The sequence below is a fragment of the Homo sapiens genome, chromosome 9, assembly GCF_000001405.40.
Source record: "Homo sapiens chromosome 9, GRCh38.p14 Primary Assembly".
Lineage (NCBI taxonomy): Eukaryota > Metazoa > Chordata > Mammalia > Primates > Hominidae > Homo > Homo sapiens.
In genome coordinates, this window is record NC_000009.12 from 42,622,526 (window position 1) to 42,641,332 (window position 18,807).

Genomic DNA, 18,807 nt, shown 5'->3' on the forward strand with positions numbered 1-18,807 from the left:
ATATGTGGAGAGATATGATTAAAAATGTTCACCACCTTATTTTCATTTATTTATTTATTTATTTATTTATTTATTTATTTATTTATTTATTATTTTGAGACAGAGCCTCACTCCACCCAGACTGGAGTGCTGTGGTGTGACCTCGGCTCATTGCAACCTCTGCCTCCCAAGTTCAAGTGATTCTCCTGCCTCAGCCTCTCAAGTAGCTAGAATTATAGGAATTCACCGCCATGCCCAACTAATTTTTCTTTTTTTTTTTTTTTTGGTGAGACAGAGTCTCACTCTGTTGCCTAGGCTAGAGGGCAGTGGCACCGTTTTGGCTCACTGCAGCCTCCGCCTTCTGGGTTCAAGCAATTCTCCTGCCTCAGCCTCCTGAGTAGCTGGGATTACAGGCACCCGCTACCACACCCGGATAATTTTTTGTATTTTTCGCCATGTTGGCCAGGTTAGTATTGAACTCCTGACCTCAAGTGATCTGCCTGACTCGGCCTCCCAAAGTGCTGGGATTACAGATGTGAGCTACCACATCCAGCCATCACCTCTTGTAAAGTGCAGTAAAGAAATAGTGGGCAATAGACAGGCAGGGGATAGAGGAAAATGTTTTGGGAGTGGGACAATATGAACTTATTGTCATGACAGGACCAAAAAGGGAAGACGTCTGCCTATCATAATTAATACTAACTCTATCAGTCAACATTTATGTTTTACAATTGTTCTGTAAAAGAAAAGCCAGCAAACTTTACAGATTCTAGTCCCTAATAACTGATCAAGAAAGACACTCTAAGCTTGTGCATCAGCATTCTCTTTTTATCTAAAAGAAAATATATTAAATACAGGGAGGAATGGCAGGAGTAAAGAGACTTGAAGGAAAAGAAAATATTGACTTTTTAATGATATTTTACAATGCTAAGATCTTTAGAAACCAACTATTCCATATGTCCTTTAAATATTAGTTTGGTGCAAAGGTAATTACAGTTTTTGTCATAAAAGTAATGGCAAAACTACAATTACTTTTGCACCAACCTAACTGATACATTCATTCCATTTTGGAGGTATTGCAAATATGCTGAATCAATGAATTTCTTCAGTATTTTTCATTGTATTAGTACAAATTTAACCTAATAGTATTCTTCTGCATGTTATTTCCCTTTGTGCTTCCTTTAATGCAATGAAGTTGTAGTTACCAAATAGAGTGCCCTAAAAGGGCAAGGCTTGTCTGTGAATTGAGCCTAGCATAGAATTGGCTCTCAGTGAAGATCTGTTGAACGTTACATGAATGCATCAACGTCATAATCCTTCATGTGCTTGTAAGCAATTAGTAAAATTTTCTCTGGCCTATTCAGGCCTGTGTTCTTCAAAATTCTTCAAAATATATGGACGTGTTTGCTGTTTCTATTAGGTTTTAACTTCTGGTATCAGAAACCAGGGCTGTTTTTCTTAATTTGTGTCCTAAAACTACAGTAGGGTTGTATGCATTGTGATAATGCTTAATAAATATATAAAAAGATTAATATCCATTCATTTACATTTTCTTAATCAAACCCAATTTCTGGAGGAGTAGCTGTGAAACTCTCAACTGGACGAGCTCTGACTAGTGTTAAGTATAGGATATTGGGAAAAGGGCTTCTATATGCAACATATATGTGAGGCAAATGAGAAATATTAGCTGGGCTACATTAAATCCCAATGACATGAATAGAAATTTTATTATCCAGGTAGCAAAAATGAAGTCAAAAAAATAAATAAGAGAATGAAGTAAAGGTATGGGGCAAAACAATTAGCTTTTTCTTTAAGTCAATATTTTAGAAAATAGCTTTTGAAGGCCCAATCACACAGAAAATTGACACTTTGACTTTTCTTTGCACTGTGTTAGACATAGGTAAAAGGATGTCTCAGCACTGTACCTTCATGTAGAAAATGTAATTAATACCAAATTGCATAAAAGTACACTAAAATTTTAATTCTTACATCATTTTAATAAATTTCTTGAGATTTTACTTTATTTAGTGTGTCATTAAAACACAGGATTTAAGGAAGATATATATAATAAAGGAAAATGGTAAGTTACCATTCTTGTGTAAACACGTTTTGTAAATACTATTTCAACAAAGATTTAAAAGTTAATTACAAAGGTATAAAGTTATGAAGTATTATATAAACAGGATTCATAATTTTGTTTTAAATGGTCTTTTCATGTATCAAAATACTATCAGTTTAAAACAACCTTTTATTTTAAGGCAGTAGGCTCTGTTTACCATCATTTACAATTGCTTTAATTAGAATTTTCTTCACTTTCAGTATATTCAAGAGCTATTCTGTTGGCCATAATTTTTAAGATAAAGTTTATCCAAATAGAAAAGTAATTATATAATGATTAAGTGCCAGAATGTGTGGGTTCAAATTCCAGTTCTGCTACTTATCAGGTATAAGAATTTGGGCAAATTTCTTAGTTTCTCTGTGCTTCAGTTTCCTGATCTGTAAAACTGGGATAACAAGACTACCTGCCTCAATCTGTGGTTATGAGTAAATGAGTTAATACATAAGAGCAATGCAATAATCCTTGGCATGTGGTATGCGTTCAATAAACATTAGCTATTATTATTATAGTAAATTAGAAATTTAATTCTAGAGAATAAAAAGCTGAACTCAAATATGTAACTATTTATTCGATACAGGCACATTTTCCACAAAATAAAAAACCGTCAGTTTGCACTTGCCTTATATAATGACTATTCTGGTGTTTGTGTGTATCTCTTGTGGGTCGGGGGTCTTGGGCTGAGTAAATAATCACATTAAAAATTTTAAAGACTTCCGATTAAAACAGAAATAAGAACAAATGGCCATTCGTGGATCATTTGCAAAGCTGAACGAATACTTGACATGTCTTTCTGTGATTCCTTGCAGATATCATGGAAATCAGGACAGTGGCAGTTCGGATTGTGGCAATCAAAGGGGTGGAAAGTGAATTCTATCTTGCAATGAACGAGGAAGGAAAACTCTATGCAAAGGTATTGATAATTGATAGCTTAGGCTTAATTTTTAAAACTCATTTTTGTTGAAATATCTCACCATTCTGAAAAGTAAACATGGACTTAATCTATCTCCAACTGTATAATTTAATGATTTTATTAAAACACTTTATACTCAAATGTTAAGAAAAAATGTTTTCTGTGTGACTTTGGACAAATGGCTTGTTCTTTGGATTCTGGTTTCTTCATCTGTAAAATGAGTTGAATTAGCTGACCTCTAAGGAGCCTTCCAGCTCTAACATTCCATGTGCATTTTAGATATTTAAAATCCAAAATTTCCATTTGCCAGTATTAAAGCTCTTTTTGCTAAAGTTCACCCAATTTGCACATTGCTGACATGAAAATTCTTGGGAAAAAATCTTGAAATGTTTAGTTCATTCATCAACATCAATCTCACAATCATGGGCTTTGAACTGTAATTATTCACATTGTTCCCACTTCACTACAATGCAAAATATGTAACAGTTCATCCCACTGTAATAAAATATAATTGGCTTTCCTTTGTATTCCCACAGCTCAGCATAATGCCTGGAACAGGCTAATTATATAATGATACAGGTTTAATTGAATGAACAAATGGTTGCATGGATGAACAAACAAATTAACCTTTTATCTTCCATTACCACTGAAGACAGTGTACAAGTAAATAAAGAAAAGTTGTGAAACAAGTCTCTCACCTGAGGGAGGCAGAGGTTCTGCTAATTCTACCAAATTTCCAGTGGTTAAAGAATGAGTGATGTGGGAAGAGTAATTTGAGGCCTGTTACTTAGGGGGAAATAGGTCCTAATTTTAAAGAATAGTTGACATGAACTTCCAAAAAGCTACACATATTTCACACTAGCTGTGCATTATGTGGTGTCTTTATTTCAAATTTAAGATACCTTTTTATGCAAATATACTACATAAGTCTAGCTAATAAACCACATTAGGCCTGCTCAATCTGAGGGTTAAAAAAAGTTGTGTATGTTTCAATTCTACCAAATATTGCTGCTTACTCTTCGTTTAATTGAGCCTCTCTAAAAATCATTTGGATAATGTTTGTGTGTTTGTTTGTTTGTTTGAACAGAAAGAATGCAATGAAGATTGTAACTTCAAAGAACTAATTCTGGAAAACCATTACAACACATATGCAGCAGCTAAATGGACACACAATGGAGGGGAAATGTTTGTTGCCTTAAATCAAAAGGGGATTCCTGTAAGAGGAAAAAAAACGAAGAAAGAACAAAAAACAGCCCACTTTCTTCCTATGGCAATAACTTAATTGCATATGGTATATAAAGAACCAGTTCCAGTAGGGAGATTTCTTTAAGTGGACTGTTTTCTTTCTTCTCAAAATTTTCTTTCCTTTTATTTTTTAGTAATCAAGAAAGGCTGGAAAACTACTGAAAAACTGATCAAGCTTGACTTGTGCATTTATGTTTGTTTTAAGACACTGCATTAAAGAAAGATTTGAAAAGTATACACAAAAATCAGATTTAGTAACTAAAGGTTGTACAAAATTGTAAAACTGGTTGTACAATCATGATGTTAGTAATAGTAATTTTTTTCTTAAATTAATTTACCCTTAAGAGTATGTTAGATTTGATTATCTGATAATGATTATTTAAATATTCCTATCTGCTTATAAAATGGCTGCTATAATAATAATAATGCAGATGATGTTATATAAGGTATATCAGACCTACAGGCTGCTGGCAGGATTTGTCAGATAATCAAGCCACACTAACTATAGAAAATGAGCAGCATTTTAAATGCTTTCTAGTGAAAAATTATAATCTACTTAAACTCTAATCAGAAAAAAAGAATATTCTCAAAAAAATCTATTACGAAAGTCAATAAAATAGATAATTTAACAAAAGTACAGGATTAGAACATGCTTATACCTATTAACAAGAACAAAATTTCTAATGCTGCTCAAGTGGAAAGGGTATTGCTAAAAGGATGTTTCCAAAAATCTTGTATATAAGATAGCAACAGTGATTGATGATAATACTGTACTTCATCTTACTTGCCACAAAATAACATTTTATAATTTCTCAAAGTAAAATTGAGAAATCTTTAAGTTTTTTTCAAGTAACATAATCTATCTTTGTATAATTCGTATTTGGGAATATGGCTTTTAATAATGTTCTTCCCACAAATAATCATGCTTTTTTCCTATGGTTACAGCATTAAACTATATTTTAAGTTGTTTTTGAACTTTATTATTTTGTTATTTAAGTTTATTTTATTTATTAAAAAAACCTTAATAAGCTGTATCTGTTTCATATGCTTTTAATTTTAAAGGAATAACAAAACTGTCTGGCTCAACTGCAAGTTTCCCTCCCCTCTGTGACCGAGACTAAGTCTAGCACACAGCACTTGGGCCAGCAAATCCTGGAAGGCAGACAAAAATGAGAACCTGAAGCAATGCTTACAGTAGATGTCTCACACAGAACAATACAAACATGTAAAAAATCTTTCACCACATATTCTTGCCAATTAATTGGATCATATAAGTAAAATCATTACAAATATAAGTATTTACAGGATTTAAAAGTTAGAATATATTTGAATGCATAGGTAGAAAAGTATCATATTTTAAAACTATGTATATTTAAATTTAGTAATTTTCTAATCTCTAGAAATCTCTGCTGTTCAAAAGGTGGCAGCACTGAAAGTTGTTTTCCTGTTAGATGGCAAGAGCACAATGCCCAAAACAGAAGATACAGTTAGGAATAAGGGGCCTTGAATGTCATGAAGGCTTGAGGTCAGCTTACAGATAACAGGATTATTAAAAAGATGAATTTCCACTTCCAAAGTCTTTCATTGGCAGATCTTGGTAGCACTTTATATGTTCACCAATGGGAGGTCAACATTTATCTAATTTAAAAGCTATGCTAACCATTGTGGTTTTAATTTCAAAATATTTGTCATTCAAGTCCCTTTACATAAATAGTATTTGGTAATACATTTATAGATGAGGCTTATATGAAAAGGCTAGGTCAACAAACCAATAGATTCATTTAATTTTCCTGTGGTTGACCTATACGACCAGGATGTAGAAAACTAGAAAGAACTGCCCTTCCTCAGATATACTCTTGGGAGAGAGCATGAATGGTATTCTGAACTATCACCTGATTCAAGGACTTTGTTAGCTAGGTTTTGAGGTCAGGCTTCAGTAACTGTAGTCTTGTGAGCATATTGAGGGCAGAGGAGGACTTAGTTTTTCATATGTGTTTCCTTAGTGCCTAGCAGACTATCTGTTCATAATCAGTTTTCAGTGTGAATTCACTGAATGTTTATAGACAAAAGAAAATACATAATAAAACTAATCTTCATTTTAAAAGGGTAAAACATGACTACACAGAAATTTAAATAGAAATAGTGTATATACATATAAAATACAAGCTATGTTAGGACCAAATCTCTTTGTCTATGGAGTTATACTTCCATCAAATTACATAGCAATGCTGAATTAGGCAAAACCAATATTTAGTGGTAAATCCATTCCTGGTAGTATAAGTCACCTAAAAAAGACTTCCAGAAATATGTACTTTAATTATTAGTTTTTCTCCTATTTTAAAATTTATTATGCAAATTTTAGAAAATAAAATTTGCTCCAGTTACACCCACTTAGAATTCCAGAATCTTAAAACTGTAAGGGGCCTCCATCCCTCTTACTCATTTGTAGTCTAGGAAATCGAGATTTTGATACACCTAAGGTCAAGCAGCTGAGTAGATATACAACTGTCACAAGAGTCTAGATCAGTTGGCACATGCTTTCTATACTAGATTATTAGTATTATTAGCTAATGGTCTTCTGCATTTTTTTGTTTTTTTATTTCTATTGAGATATAGCCTTTACATTTGTACACAAATGTGACTATGTCTTGGCAATGCACTTCATACACAATGACTAATCTATACTGTGATGATTTGACTCAAAAGGAGAAAAGAAATTATGTAGTTTTCAATTCTGATTCCTATTCACCTTTTGTTTATGAATGGAAAGCTTTGTGCAAAATATACATATAAGCAGAGTAAGCCTTTTAAAAATGTTCTTTGAAAGATAAAATTAAATACATGAGTTTCTAACAATTAGAAAGGAAAAAATTAAAATATGAAATGATAACAAAAGTAAACAAAAGATACTTTCAAAGCAGTGAACAAAACATTTTGACATAAGCCATAATATAAATTATAATATAAAAATATAAAAACCATAGTATAAATTGTCAATCTTTGAGTTGGCTATGAATTCAATTTAATGACAGAAGAGAAGGGATGCTGGAGGTAAATTCTTAGAGTTTCTATCTCATAGAGTTTGCTCTTCTGATTCTCTAGACTGCCAAAGAACATAAAGATGTACAAGGGGACCTAGCTGTAGTAAAAGCATTGCTATAACAACAAAAACTCTAAAACAGTGCCCCTCACGATTTTCTACTGAAATTTCTCTAACAGTAGAGGTATAAAACAAGAAGTTAGAGAATAATGCAGAAGGGGCCCACCACAGAAATCACATTTCTTTTCTGTTAAGACTCATGTGATTTTTGCATCTTACTCCATAATGTATTAGTGGTTGCGTTAATATGACAATGTCTGCAATTAAACACCAGTAAGCAAAATCGATACATCAGAATGACTTGCAGGGCTTATCATGCAGTTTCATTTACATCCCTATCCCACTGCCATTTACTTGAGCGTGAATGACACACGAGAGATTCTTTGCCTTCCATGATCCAACTTTACACATAAATAACACAAGGCTAAAGAAAACCAGAACTCAAATTCACCATGCATAGGAGTGATAACAAAAATATTTAACAGTCAGTATGGGTGATTACTGGCCAATCAGAATACGTCACTGATATATCAAAATGGATGCAGGCCACTGTGACTAACTTGTGGGTATCATTTCTATGATCACCCTAAAACAGAGTTGGGAAAATATCAATTAACTGGTCTCTCTGGTTTGAATTCTCAATATGTATCTTAATATGAAATAGCTCATTAAAACTTCATGTGTAACTATTTCAGCATTGTTGTCAGCTACTCTTTATTCCACTTCTGTACAGTATTTATTCAACCAAGCTGCTGCTTTCAATGAAGGTCACTTGTTCCTTCAGGGACACATGTACTCCCACCTATCCTTTAATTTTGAATGGTTTGTCAAGAAAATTTACTTTCTCTTGAGTTGAAAAGACTTGACAGGAAGCAAGAAATAATACAGTCCTAGCCTCTTTCCAGTAACATCTGATTTCTCCATTCTCAAACTACACTTCTCAGGGAACCAGATATTTACTCTCGTCTGGGAAGATGCCTCTTATGTTTTCCTTTTACTTCCTGGTTATCATGTGGTTGCATTTTCCAAGTTCTTATCATTGAATTTATGAGAGCCTATCCAAATTTATTTTCTTTTATTTTCTAATAATTGAAATGTGAGATGAAAATAACATTTCACTTATGAAAAACGCTTCTCTTGATGAATCCTTCCATGTGTTAGTTATCTATTGCTCTGTAACAAAGGTGTTAGTTATCTATTGCTGTGTAACAAATTAAAACTTAATGGCTTGAAACAAATATTTGTTTTCTCATAGTTTATGTGGCTCAGGAGCCTGGACGTGGTTCAGCACAGTGTTTTTGGTCAGAATTCCTCATGAGGCTGCAATCAAGGTGTAGACCAGGGCTGTAGTCATCTATCTCAATATTCAACTCAGAAAGGGATCCACCTTAGATCCTCACTGGCTCTTATCAGGACCTATCACTTCCTTACCACATGGACCTCTCCATAGCATTGCTTACAACATTACAGTCTGTTTCCCACGGAGCAAGAAATCAGAGAGTGTGAGATAAAGTACCCAAAATGGAAGCCACAGGTTTGTTTGTTTGTTTTAATATATATAACCTAGTTTCAAAAGTGATGTTACCTCTGCCTACACTCATGAGGAGGGTATTATACAAGGGCATACATACCAGAAAGCAGGGATCACTGGAAGTCATTTTACAGGCTGCCTAATCCAAGTCATGAACTAGATGTTTTTAATGTCACTGCCATAAACTGGGATTCTACAGGGTCTAATGAGAGTAATTAATTCATGGCTTTCAGTGGGGATCCATTCAGCAGAGAAAGAGATGAAATATGTATATTCTCTGTGGAAACACTCTTGATTCTTCCTTGAGGGATACTGCGTGGTCCATTCCTACACAGGATAATTAAGAAAAGGTTTGAACCAATCTGGACTTCCTATTAGCCTGAGATGTGGCTACTTAGAACTCCCAATGTAGCTGGAAAACTAACAATATCCCTTTGCCTCCACATGAAGCAAATTACCCTGCCATCAGACTCAACATGAAGATAATCCTCCCTTCAGCTGCTCTACCTCAAGAGAAAAAGATCATAGATGCCAGCTGGAATTCCTCTGGGCCATAGAGTGTTTTATTCTAGATGCTGAAGGCAATCAGCCACCATTTACCCAAGACCATCTGAGAATAAGACCTAAAAAGACTTGAAAACAATTGATTTCAATGGTAGGTACACACTGGTATCCCCTGTTCTGTATATATCTACAGATACTTAGATATATACAAAACAGGATATATATATATATATATAGAGAGAGAGAGAGAGAGAGAAACAGAGAGAGAGAGAGAGAGAGAGAGAGAAACCTAGGCCCCAACTCAAGCCAATTACATCAGTGTATATGACAGGTGGCCCATGCAGTCGTATTTTAAAAATTCCCCAGAATATTCTAATGTGCCTCTGCAGTTGAGAACTAATTAGGTAAATGCAAACAACAACAAAGACCAAAAAATGTCTTCAGAAACTATGCCTGCTTCTTCATCTTTGTCGCTTCTTTAAACACCTTGAAAGGCCTTATTCCCTCCCAGCCCCTCCTGCCCCTAGGTTTTCCTAGATGCTTCCGTATTTTCTGCTATGCACAACTGGGGCTCATAGGAAATGTAGGCACTAGAAGGAGAGTTACAATTGTTTTTGCATCAGAATGATTATGGAATAGAAAAAGGCATTTCATGCAAATGGACACCAAAAGCGAGCAGCGGTAGCTATTCTCATATGAGACAAAACAAACTTTAAAGCAACAGTAGCTAAAGTAGACAAGGACAGACAGTATATAATGGTAAAGGTCTCATCCAACAGAAAAATATGACAATCCCAAACATACATGAACCTAACACCGGAGCTCACAAATTTATAAAACAATTACTAGTAGACATAAGAAATGAGATAGACAGCAACACGATAATAGTGGGGGACTTCAATACTCCACTGACAGCACTAGACAGGTCATCAAGAGAGAAAGTCAACAAAGAAACACTGGATTTAAACTACACTTTGGAACAAATGGACTTAACAGATACATACAGAACATTTCATCCAACAACCACAGAATACACATTCTATTCCACAGCACATGGAATTTTCTCCAAGATAGACCATATGATAGGTCATAAAACGAGTCTCAGTAAATTGAAGAAAACTGAAATTGTATCACGCACTCTCTCAGATCACAGTGGAATAAAACTGAAAATCGACTCCAAAAGGAATCTTCAAAACCATGCAAATACATGGAAATTAAATAACCTGCTCCTGAATGAGCATTGGGTGAAAAACAAAATCAAGATGGAAATGTAAAAAATTTCTTCAAACTGGATGACACAACCTATCAAGACCTCTGGGAAACAGCAAAGGCAATGCTAAGGGGAAAGTTTGTAGCCCTAAACACCGACGTCAAAAAGTCTGAAAGAGCACAAACAGACAATCTAAGTTCACATCTCAGGGAACTAGAGAAACAGGAACAAGCCAAACCCAATCCCAGCAAACAAAGGAAATAACCAAGATCAGAGCAGAACTAAATGAAATTGACACAACAACAACAACAAAAAATACAAAACATAAAAGAAAAAGTTGGTTATTTGAAAAGATAAATAAAATTCATAGACCATTAGCAAGATTAACCAAGAAGAGAGAAAATCCAAATAACCTCACTAAGAAATGAAACAGGGGATATTACAACTGACACCACTGAAATATTAAAGGTTATTCAAGGGTACTATGAACACCTTTTGGCACATAAACTAGAAAACCTAGAAGAGTTGGATAAATTCCTGGAAAAATACAACCCTCCTAGCTTAAATCAGGAAGAATTAGATACCCCAAGCAGACCAATAAAGCAAGCAGCAAGATTGAAATGGTAATTTTAAAATTGACAACAAAAAAAGCCGAAGACCAGACAGATTCACAGCAGAACTCTACCAGACTTCAAAGAATGTCTTCCTTCATTCAAAGAAGAAATGATACCAATCCTTTCACACTATTCCACAAGACAGAGAAAGAAGAAACCCTCCCTGATTCATTCTATGAAGCCAGCATCACCCTAATACCAAAACCATGAAAGGACATAACCAAAAAAGAAAACTACAGACCAATATCCTTGATGAACACAGATGCCAAAATCCTTAACAAAATACTATCTAACTGAATCTGACAACATATCAAAAAGATAATCCAACATGATCAAGTGGGTTTCATACCAGTGATACAGGAATGGTTTAACATATGCAAATCAATAAATGTGATACACCAAATAAACAGAATTTAAAAAACTCACACGATTATATCAACAGATGCAGAAAAAGCATTTGACAAAATCTAGCATTGCTTTATGATTAAAGCTCTCAGCAAAATAGGCATACAAGGGACATACCTTAATGTAATAAAAGCCATCTATGACAAACCCACAGCCAACATAACACTGAATGGGGAAAAGGTGAAAGCATTCCCTTTGAGAACTGAAACAAGACGAGGAGCCTACTCTCACTACTCCTCTTCAACAAAGTACTGGAAGTCCTAGCCAGAGCAATCAGACAAAAGAAGGAAATAGAGGAAATCCAAATCGGTAAAGAGGAAGTCAGACTGTCACTGGTTGCTGACGATATGATCTTTCGCCTTGAAAACCCTACGGACTCCTCTAGAAAGCTCCTAGAACTGATAAAAGAATTCAGCAAAGTTTCCAGATACAAGATTAACAGACACAAGGCAGCAGCTCTTCTATACATCAACAGCTACCAAGCAGAGAATCACATCAAGAACTCAACCCCTTTTACAATAGCTGCAACAAACAAACAAACAAAAAACAAAACTTAGGAATATACCTAGCAAAGGAATCAAAAGACCTCTACAATGAAAATTACAAAACACTGCTGAAAGAAATCATGGATGGAGCCAAGCACGGTGGCGCATGCCTATAATCCCAGCTACTCGGGAAGCTGAAGCAGGAGAATCGCTTGAACCTGGGAGGCAGAAGTTGTAGTGAGCCGAGATCACACCATTGCACTCCCACCTCAGCGACAAGACTGAAACTCCCTCTGGAAAAAAAAAAAACACAAGAAAGAAAAGAAATCATAGACGATACAAACAAATGGAAATGCATCCCCATGCTCATGGATGGGTAGAACCAATATTGTGAAATTTACCATTCTGTTAAAAGCAATCTACAAATTCAATGCAATCCCCATCTGAATACCACCGTCATTCTTCACAGAATTACAAAAACAATTCTAAAATTAATATGGAACCAAAAGAGAGCCATGTAGCCAAACCAAGGCTAAGCAAAAAGAACAAACCTGGAGGCATCACACTACTTGATTTCAAACTGTACAATAAGGCCATAGTTACCAAAACAGCATGGTACTGGTTTAAAAATAGGAACATAGACCAATGGAACAGAAGAGAGAACCCAGAAATTAACCCAAATATTTACAGCCAACTGATCTTCGACAAAGTACACAAAAACATAAAGTGGGGAAAGGACACCTTTTCAACACATGATGATGTTGGGATAATTGGCGAGCCACATGTAGGGGAATAAAACTGGATTCTCATCTCTCACCTTATACAAAAATCTACTCAAGATGGATTAAGAACTTAAACCTAATTCCTGAACTATAAAAATTCTAGAAGGTAACACTGGATAAACCCTTCTAGACATTGGCATAGGCAAGGATTTCATGACCAAGAAGCCAAATGCAAATGCAATAAAAACAAAGATAAATAGCTGGGACTTAATTAAACTAAAGAGCTTTAGCATGGCAAAGGGAACAGTCAGCAGAGTAAATAGACAACCCACAGAGTGGGACCCCTGACCCTGACCCTGATCCCTGACCCTGACCCCTAACCCTGACCCCAACCCCTGATCCTAACCCTAACCTGTAACCCTAACCCCTAACCACAACCCTCACCCTAACCCAACCCTAACCCCTAATCCCAAACCACTAACCTCTCTTAACCCCTAACTCTAAACGTTGACTCCTAACCCCTAACTCTGACCCCAGCCCTTATTTCCAACCCCTAACCCTAAACTTAACCCCTAACCCCTAACCCTAACACCAACTTAACCCTAGGTTCGTTACTACGTTTGTATTGACTATGTCAATGTTGATTATTATGATCGCTGTCTTAGGACTGCAGGGCAGCGAGGGGATTGCGGATCTTATATTAATATTTTTGTATTGAGGCAGTGCATTAGCATTACAGGTGCTTGTTACATGAGCAATGGGGGTGTCATACTTTGGGTGTCATGTCTGCATTAGGAATGCCGCATTTGTCTTCCGAGGCTGCGGTGTGAATCTTGCACTGTGGCCGCCTCGCCTTGGCTGGGGAGAACCTCGGTGGGCAGGATTCAGAGGGGCTTTTGGTTTCCCGTTTTCCACACTGAACCCTTCTAACTGGTCTCTGACCCTGATTATTCAGGGCTGCAAACAGGAAGGATTTTATTCACCGTGGATGCAGCCCGGAGTTGTCCCAAAGCGAGGCAGTGCCCCCAAGGTCTGTGCTGAGGAGAACGCGGCTCTGCCTTCGCAGTGTCCCCCGGGTCTGTGCTGAGCAGAACGCCGCTCCGCCCTCGTGGAGACCCTGGCCCGCCCGGGTCTGTGCTGAGGAGAACACTGCTCCGCCACTGACCTCCAGCCTGGGCGACAGAGCGAGACTCCATCTCAAAAAAAAAAAAAAAACGATAACAACAAAAAATAAAAAAAAACCCCATAATAGTAGTGATAAGGCCGGGTATACAGATAAGGTACACAGATAAGAAAGGAAGTGATAGCGGGGCGCAGTGGCTCACGCCTGTAATCCCAGCACTTTGGGAGGCCGAAGCGGGCAGATCACGAGGTCAGGAGTTTGAGACCAGCCTGGCCAACACGGTGAAACCCCGTCTCTACTAAAAATACAAACATTAGCTGGGCGTGGTGGCGGGCGCCTGTAGTCTTCTCAGACACCCGACCACCGGCTCCTGAGCCGCGGCAACTCCCTGTCACCTTTTCACTGCCCCCAACCCAGCCCCAAATCCCCAATCCAGCCCCAAATCCCCGATCCATCTCCAAATCCCCGATCCAACCCCCAATCCGCGATCCAATCCCCAATCCGTGATCCCAAATCTGCGATCTAGCCCAGAATCCGCAATCCAGCCGGGTCCACCACAGCCTTCAGCAGCGACACTCGCAGCCTCTGACCTCTCAGACCCAGTGAGCCTCGCAAGGCCATTAGCAGCGCGCCTGCACCGCGGGGGCCGCCCGGCTCCCAGAAGCCGCTCCCAGCCGGTGCGCCGGCAAGCAGGGCTCCAGCCCAGGGCAGGCGCCGCTGGGCTCGCGGGTTCTCCTGAGCTGGTCCGGGCTTCCCCAGGACCACAGGGGCAGGATTGCAGGCGTGCAGCCTGCCCGGCCTCAGGAGGAGGGCCTGTCTGGCCGTGCGGCCCCACTTAATCTTAATAGCAAATAAAACTCAACAGTATGCTGTGGTATATTCTACAGTGATTCTACACAATTGTAGATTGCATTAGAATAATGTTTTTCTAAATTATTTTCTTGTTAACAAATGGACACTCGAAATTTTATTTATTTTAATTTCAATTTTTTTAAAAACAGAGTTTCACTCTTGTTGCCCAGGCTGGAGTGCAATGGCGCGATCTCGGCTCACTGCAACCTCCGTCTCCCAGGTACAAGTGATTTCTCCTGTCTCAGCCTCCCAAGTAGCTCCAATTACAGGCATGCGCCACCACAGCCGGCTATTTGTGTGTGTGTGTGTGTGTGTGTGTGTTTAGTAGAGATGGGGTTTCATCATGTTAGCCTGGTCGCAAACTCCTGACCTCAGGTGATCCACCTGCCTTGGCCTCCCAAAATGCTGGGATTACAGGAGTAAGCCACTGTGCCTGGGCAAAATTTTATTTTTTAATAATGCCAAGTGATTTCATTTTAAATTAAACTGCACCATAAATTGGATTATTTTCCTGCATGAGTACCTTGCTCTTCAAACAAAAACATTTTTTAAAGACCAAATATATTGCATACTTTTCTTAAAAAAAGCTCTGCCTGTGTGCATTGGCTTACGCCTGTAATCCCAACACTTTGTGGAGGCTGAGGGAGGAGGACTGTTTGAACCCAGGAGTTTGAGACTGGCCTGGGCAACACAGTGAGACACTGGCTCTACAATAATCTTTCTTTAAAAGTTAGCCAGGTATGGTGGTGCACAGCCATGGTCCCAGACACTTGGGAGGTTGAGGTGGGAGGATAGCTTGATCTTGGGAAGCTGAGGCTGCAGTGAGCTATGATTGCACTCCAGCCTGGGTGACAGAGCAAGAACCTGTCTCAAAAAAATGTTCTTACTGTATAAGAAATTATGAATGACATTTATTTTATGTTAAAACAGTATATTTTATCTACAAAAGGAGTAAAAGACAGTAATAGAAAAATTGGCACATAAAGGAACACAAATGCTAAAAAAATTCAAATTTACCAATAATCCTATCACGTAAATTGATAATTTTTAATATAATTAAATGTAGGATTTTAAAATAAATTTCTTTTAATTTATTTATTTAAACATATAGATTATTTTTAGACCCTCTTCAGGCATCCCCTGTTGAATAAATTCCATGATTTACAGGCCTACTCTCTCTATTGTTAAATATTGTATTGCTTTCAATGAACAATATTTTTTATAAACATTTCACAGAAACAAATCTGGGCACATTGAGACATGTTTTCTTTTCAAAAAGTCCTAGCACTTTAATTACTGTGTAAAGAGATATTAGTATATAATTTTCACACTTATTGACTAACATCCCTGCAAAATGTTGAATCAATTTATACTTTCAGCACCAATCGGCAAATTAATGTCCATTATGCTTTTGCTTCACCAAAACTGATACTTATATTTTATTTTGCTAGACAAAAATACATATTATCTTAATTTGCATAACTGTAATTAATAGAAAGGTTAAATTTTTTTCAGATGTATCATAGGGCATCACTTTTTCTTGAGTCTGGTGGGTGCTTAGTTCCTTTAAAGCATTAATCATGTATACTTTAATTTTATGTGCAAAACAATCATTAAGTACAATTTGAAATATGGAAAAATAAATAACTGGATTAAGAAAAAAACAAATAGAGCTTCTGGAATTAAAACATTCACTAATGGAATTTCAAAACACAGTTGGAATCTTTAACAATAAACTAGACTAAGCAGAAGAAATAATTTTAGATTTTGAAAACTGGTCTTTCAAAGTAACCCAGTCAGACAAAAATAAAAGAAAAAAGAACTGAAAAACAAAGCCCTTAAGAAATATGAGATTATGTAAAGTGACCAAACTTATAACTTATTGGCATTACTACAACAGAAGAATAAAAAGCAACCAACTAGGAAAGTATATTTAAGGGAATAATTTAGGAAAATTTCGCTAGTCTTGCTAGAAAGGTTGATATTCAGATATAAGAAATTCAGAGAACACCTGTGGCATAGTAAACAAGATGCCCATTCCTAAGGCATCCACAGTCATTAGAATAGCCGTGGTCAATGCAAAAGAAAATATATTAAAGGCAGCTCAAAGAAAGGGCCAAATTACCTATGAAGTAAATTAGATTAACAACAGACTTATCAGCAGAAACCCTGCAACCTAGAAAAGATTGGGGCCTAGCGTTAGCCTTCTTAAAGAAAAAAAAAATGCCATCCAATAATTTCTTTTTTTTGGAGACAGAGTCTCACTTTGCCACCCAGGCTGGAGTGCAGTGGTGTGATCTCAGCTCACTGCAACCTCCGCTTCCTGGGTTCAAGCAATTCTCCTGCCTCAGCCTCCCCAGTAGCTGAGATTACAGATGCCCGCCACCACGCCTGGCAAATTCTAATTTTTAATAGAGATGGAGTTTCTTCATATTGGCCAGGCTGGTCTTGAACTCCTGACCTCAGGTGATCTGCCTGCCTCGGCCTCCCAAAGTGCTAGGGTTACAGGCATGAGCCACTGCACCCAGCCACGCAAGAATTTCATAACCTGCCAGACTGAGCTTCATAAAGAAAGGAAAATAAGGTATTTCCAGACGAGAAAATGTTAAGGGAAGTCATTACCTCCAGACTGACTCTAAAAGAAATGTTTAAAGGAGTTTCACTAGTGAAAATAAAAGAATGATACTTGCTACCATAAAAGCATACATGAATACAAAATGTACGGAACCTATAAAGCAATTAAACAATTGAGACTACAAGGTAACTAGCTAATGCTATAAAAGGAAGAAAACCTAACACATCAATATTAAGCTTGAGTGCAAATGGCTGAAATGCTCCACTTAAAAGACACAGAGTGGCAAACTGAATAAAAAAACAAGACACTTCTGCTGCCTTTGAGAGACCCATCTCATGTGTAATGATACCAACAGGCTCAAAGTAAATGGATAGAAAAAGATTCATCACATAAATGAAAAACAAAAACAGAGAGGTATTGCTATTCTTGTATCAGATAAAACAGACATTAAACTAACAACAGTACAAAAAAAATACAAAGAATGGCATTATATAATGATAAAGTGTTCAATTCAACAAGAAGACTTAACTGTCTCAAATATATATGCAGCCTACATTGAAGCAACCGGATTTTTAGAATAAATATTACTAGACCTAAGAAAAGAGATACACAGCTGTACAATAATCATGGAGGACTTCAACACCCCACCGACAGTAGTAAGCAGATTATTAGTTAGGCAGATTATTAGGCAGAAAACTAACAATGAAACTGTGGACTCAAATTGGGCTCTTGACCAAACAGACCTAATAGATATCTACAGAATACTCTACCCAGAAACCACAGAATGTACATTTTTCTCATTTGCACATGGAACATTCCCTAAAATTGACCACATGCTCAGTCATAAAATAAGCCTCAATAAATTTTTAAAAGTCATAACTATATTAAGTATCTTCTCAGACCACTGTGGAATAAAATTAGAAGTCAATATCAAGAACTCTCAGAACCACAGAGGTACATGGAAACTAAACAATCTGCTCCTTAATGACTTTTGTGTAAATAACAGAATTAAGGCAGAAATTTAAAGAAATTCCTGAAACAAATGAAAATAGAAACGTAACATACCAAAACGTCTGGGATACAGAAAAAACAATGTTAAGAGGAGAGTTTATAACACTAAATGCCTACATAAAAAGAGAGAAAGATCTCAAATTAACAAGCTAAAATAGCCAAACACACTAAAAAAGAACAAACCAAACCCAAAGCTAGTAGAAGGAAATAACAAAAGTTAGAGAATAAGTTAATGAAATCGGGACCAAAAAAACCATACAAGGAATCAGCAAAATTAAAAAGTTGGTTCTTTGCAAGTACACATAAAAATGATAGATTGCTAGTTAGATTATGCAAGAAAAAAAGAAGATTCAAATAAGCACAGTCAAAAATGACAAATGAGACATTGCAAAGGATACCACCGACATAAAAAAAGATCCTCA

The 18,807-nt window shown here is 36.7% G+C and overlaps 1 pseudogene; it reads left to right on the forward strand.

Annotated features, from left to right (window-relative positions):
• On the forward strand, positions 2,905–7,314 carry FGF7P5 (fibroblast growth factor 7 pseudogene 5; annotated as a pseudogene).
• The last annotated feature ends 11,493 nt before the right edge of the window (positions 7,315–18,807 follow it).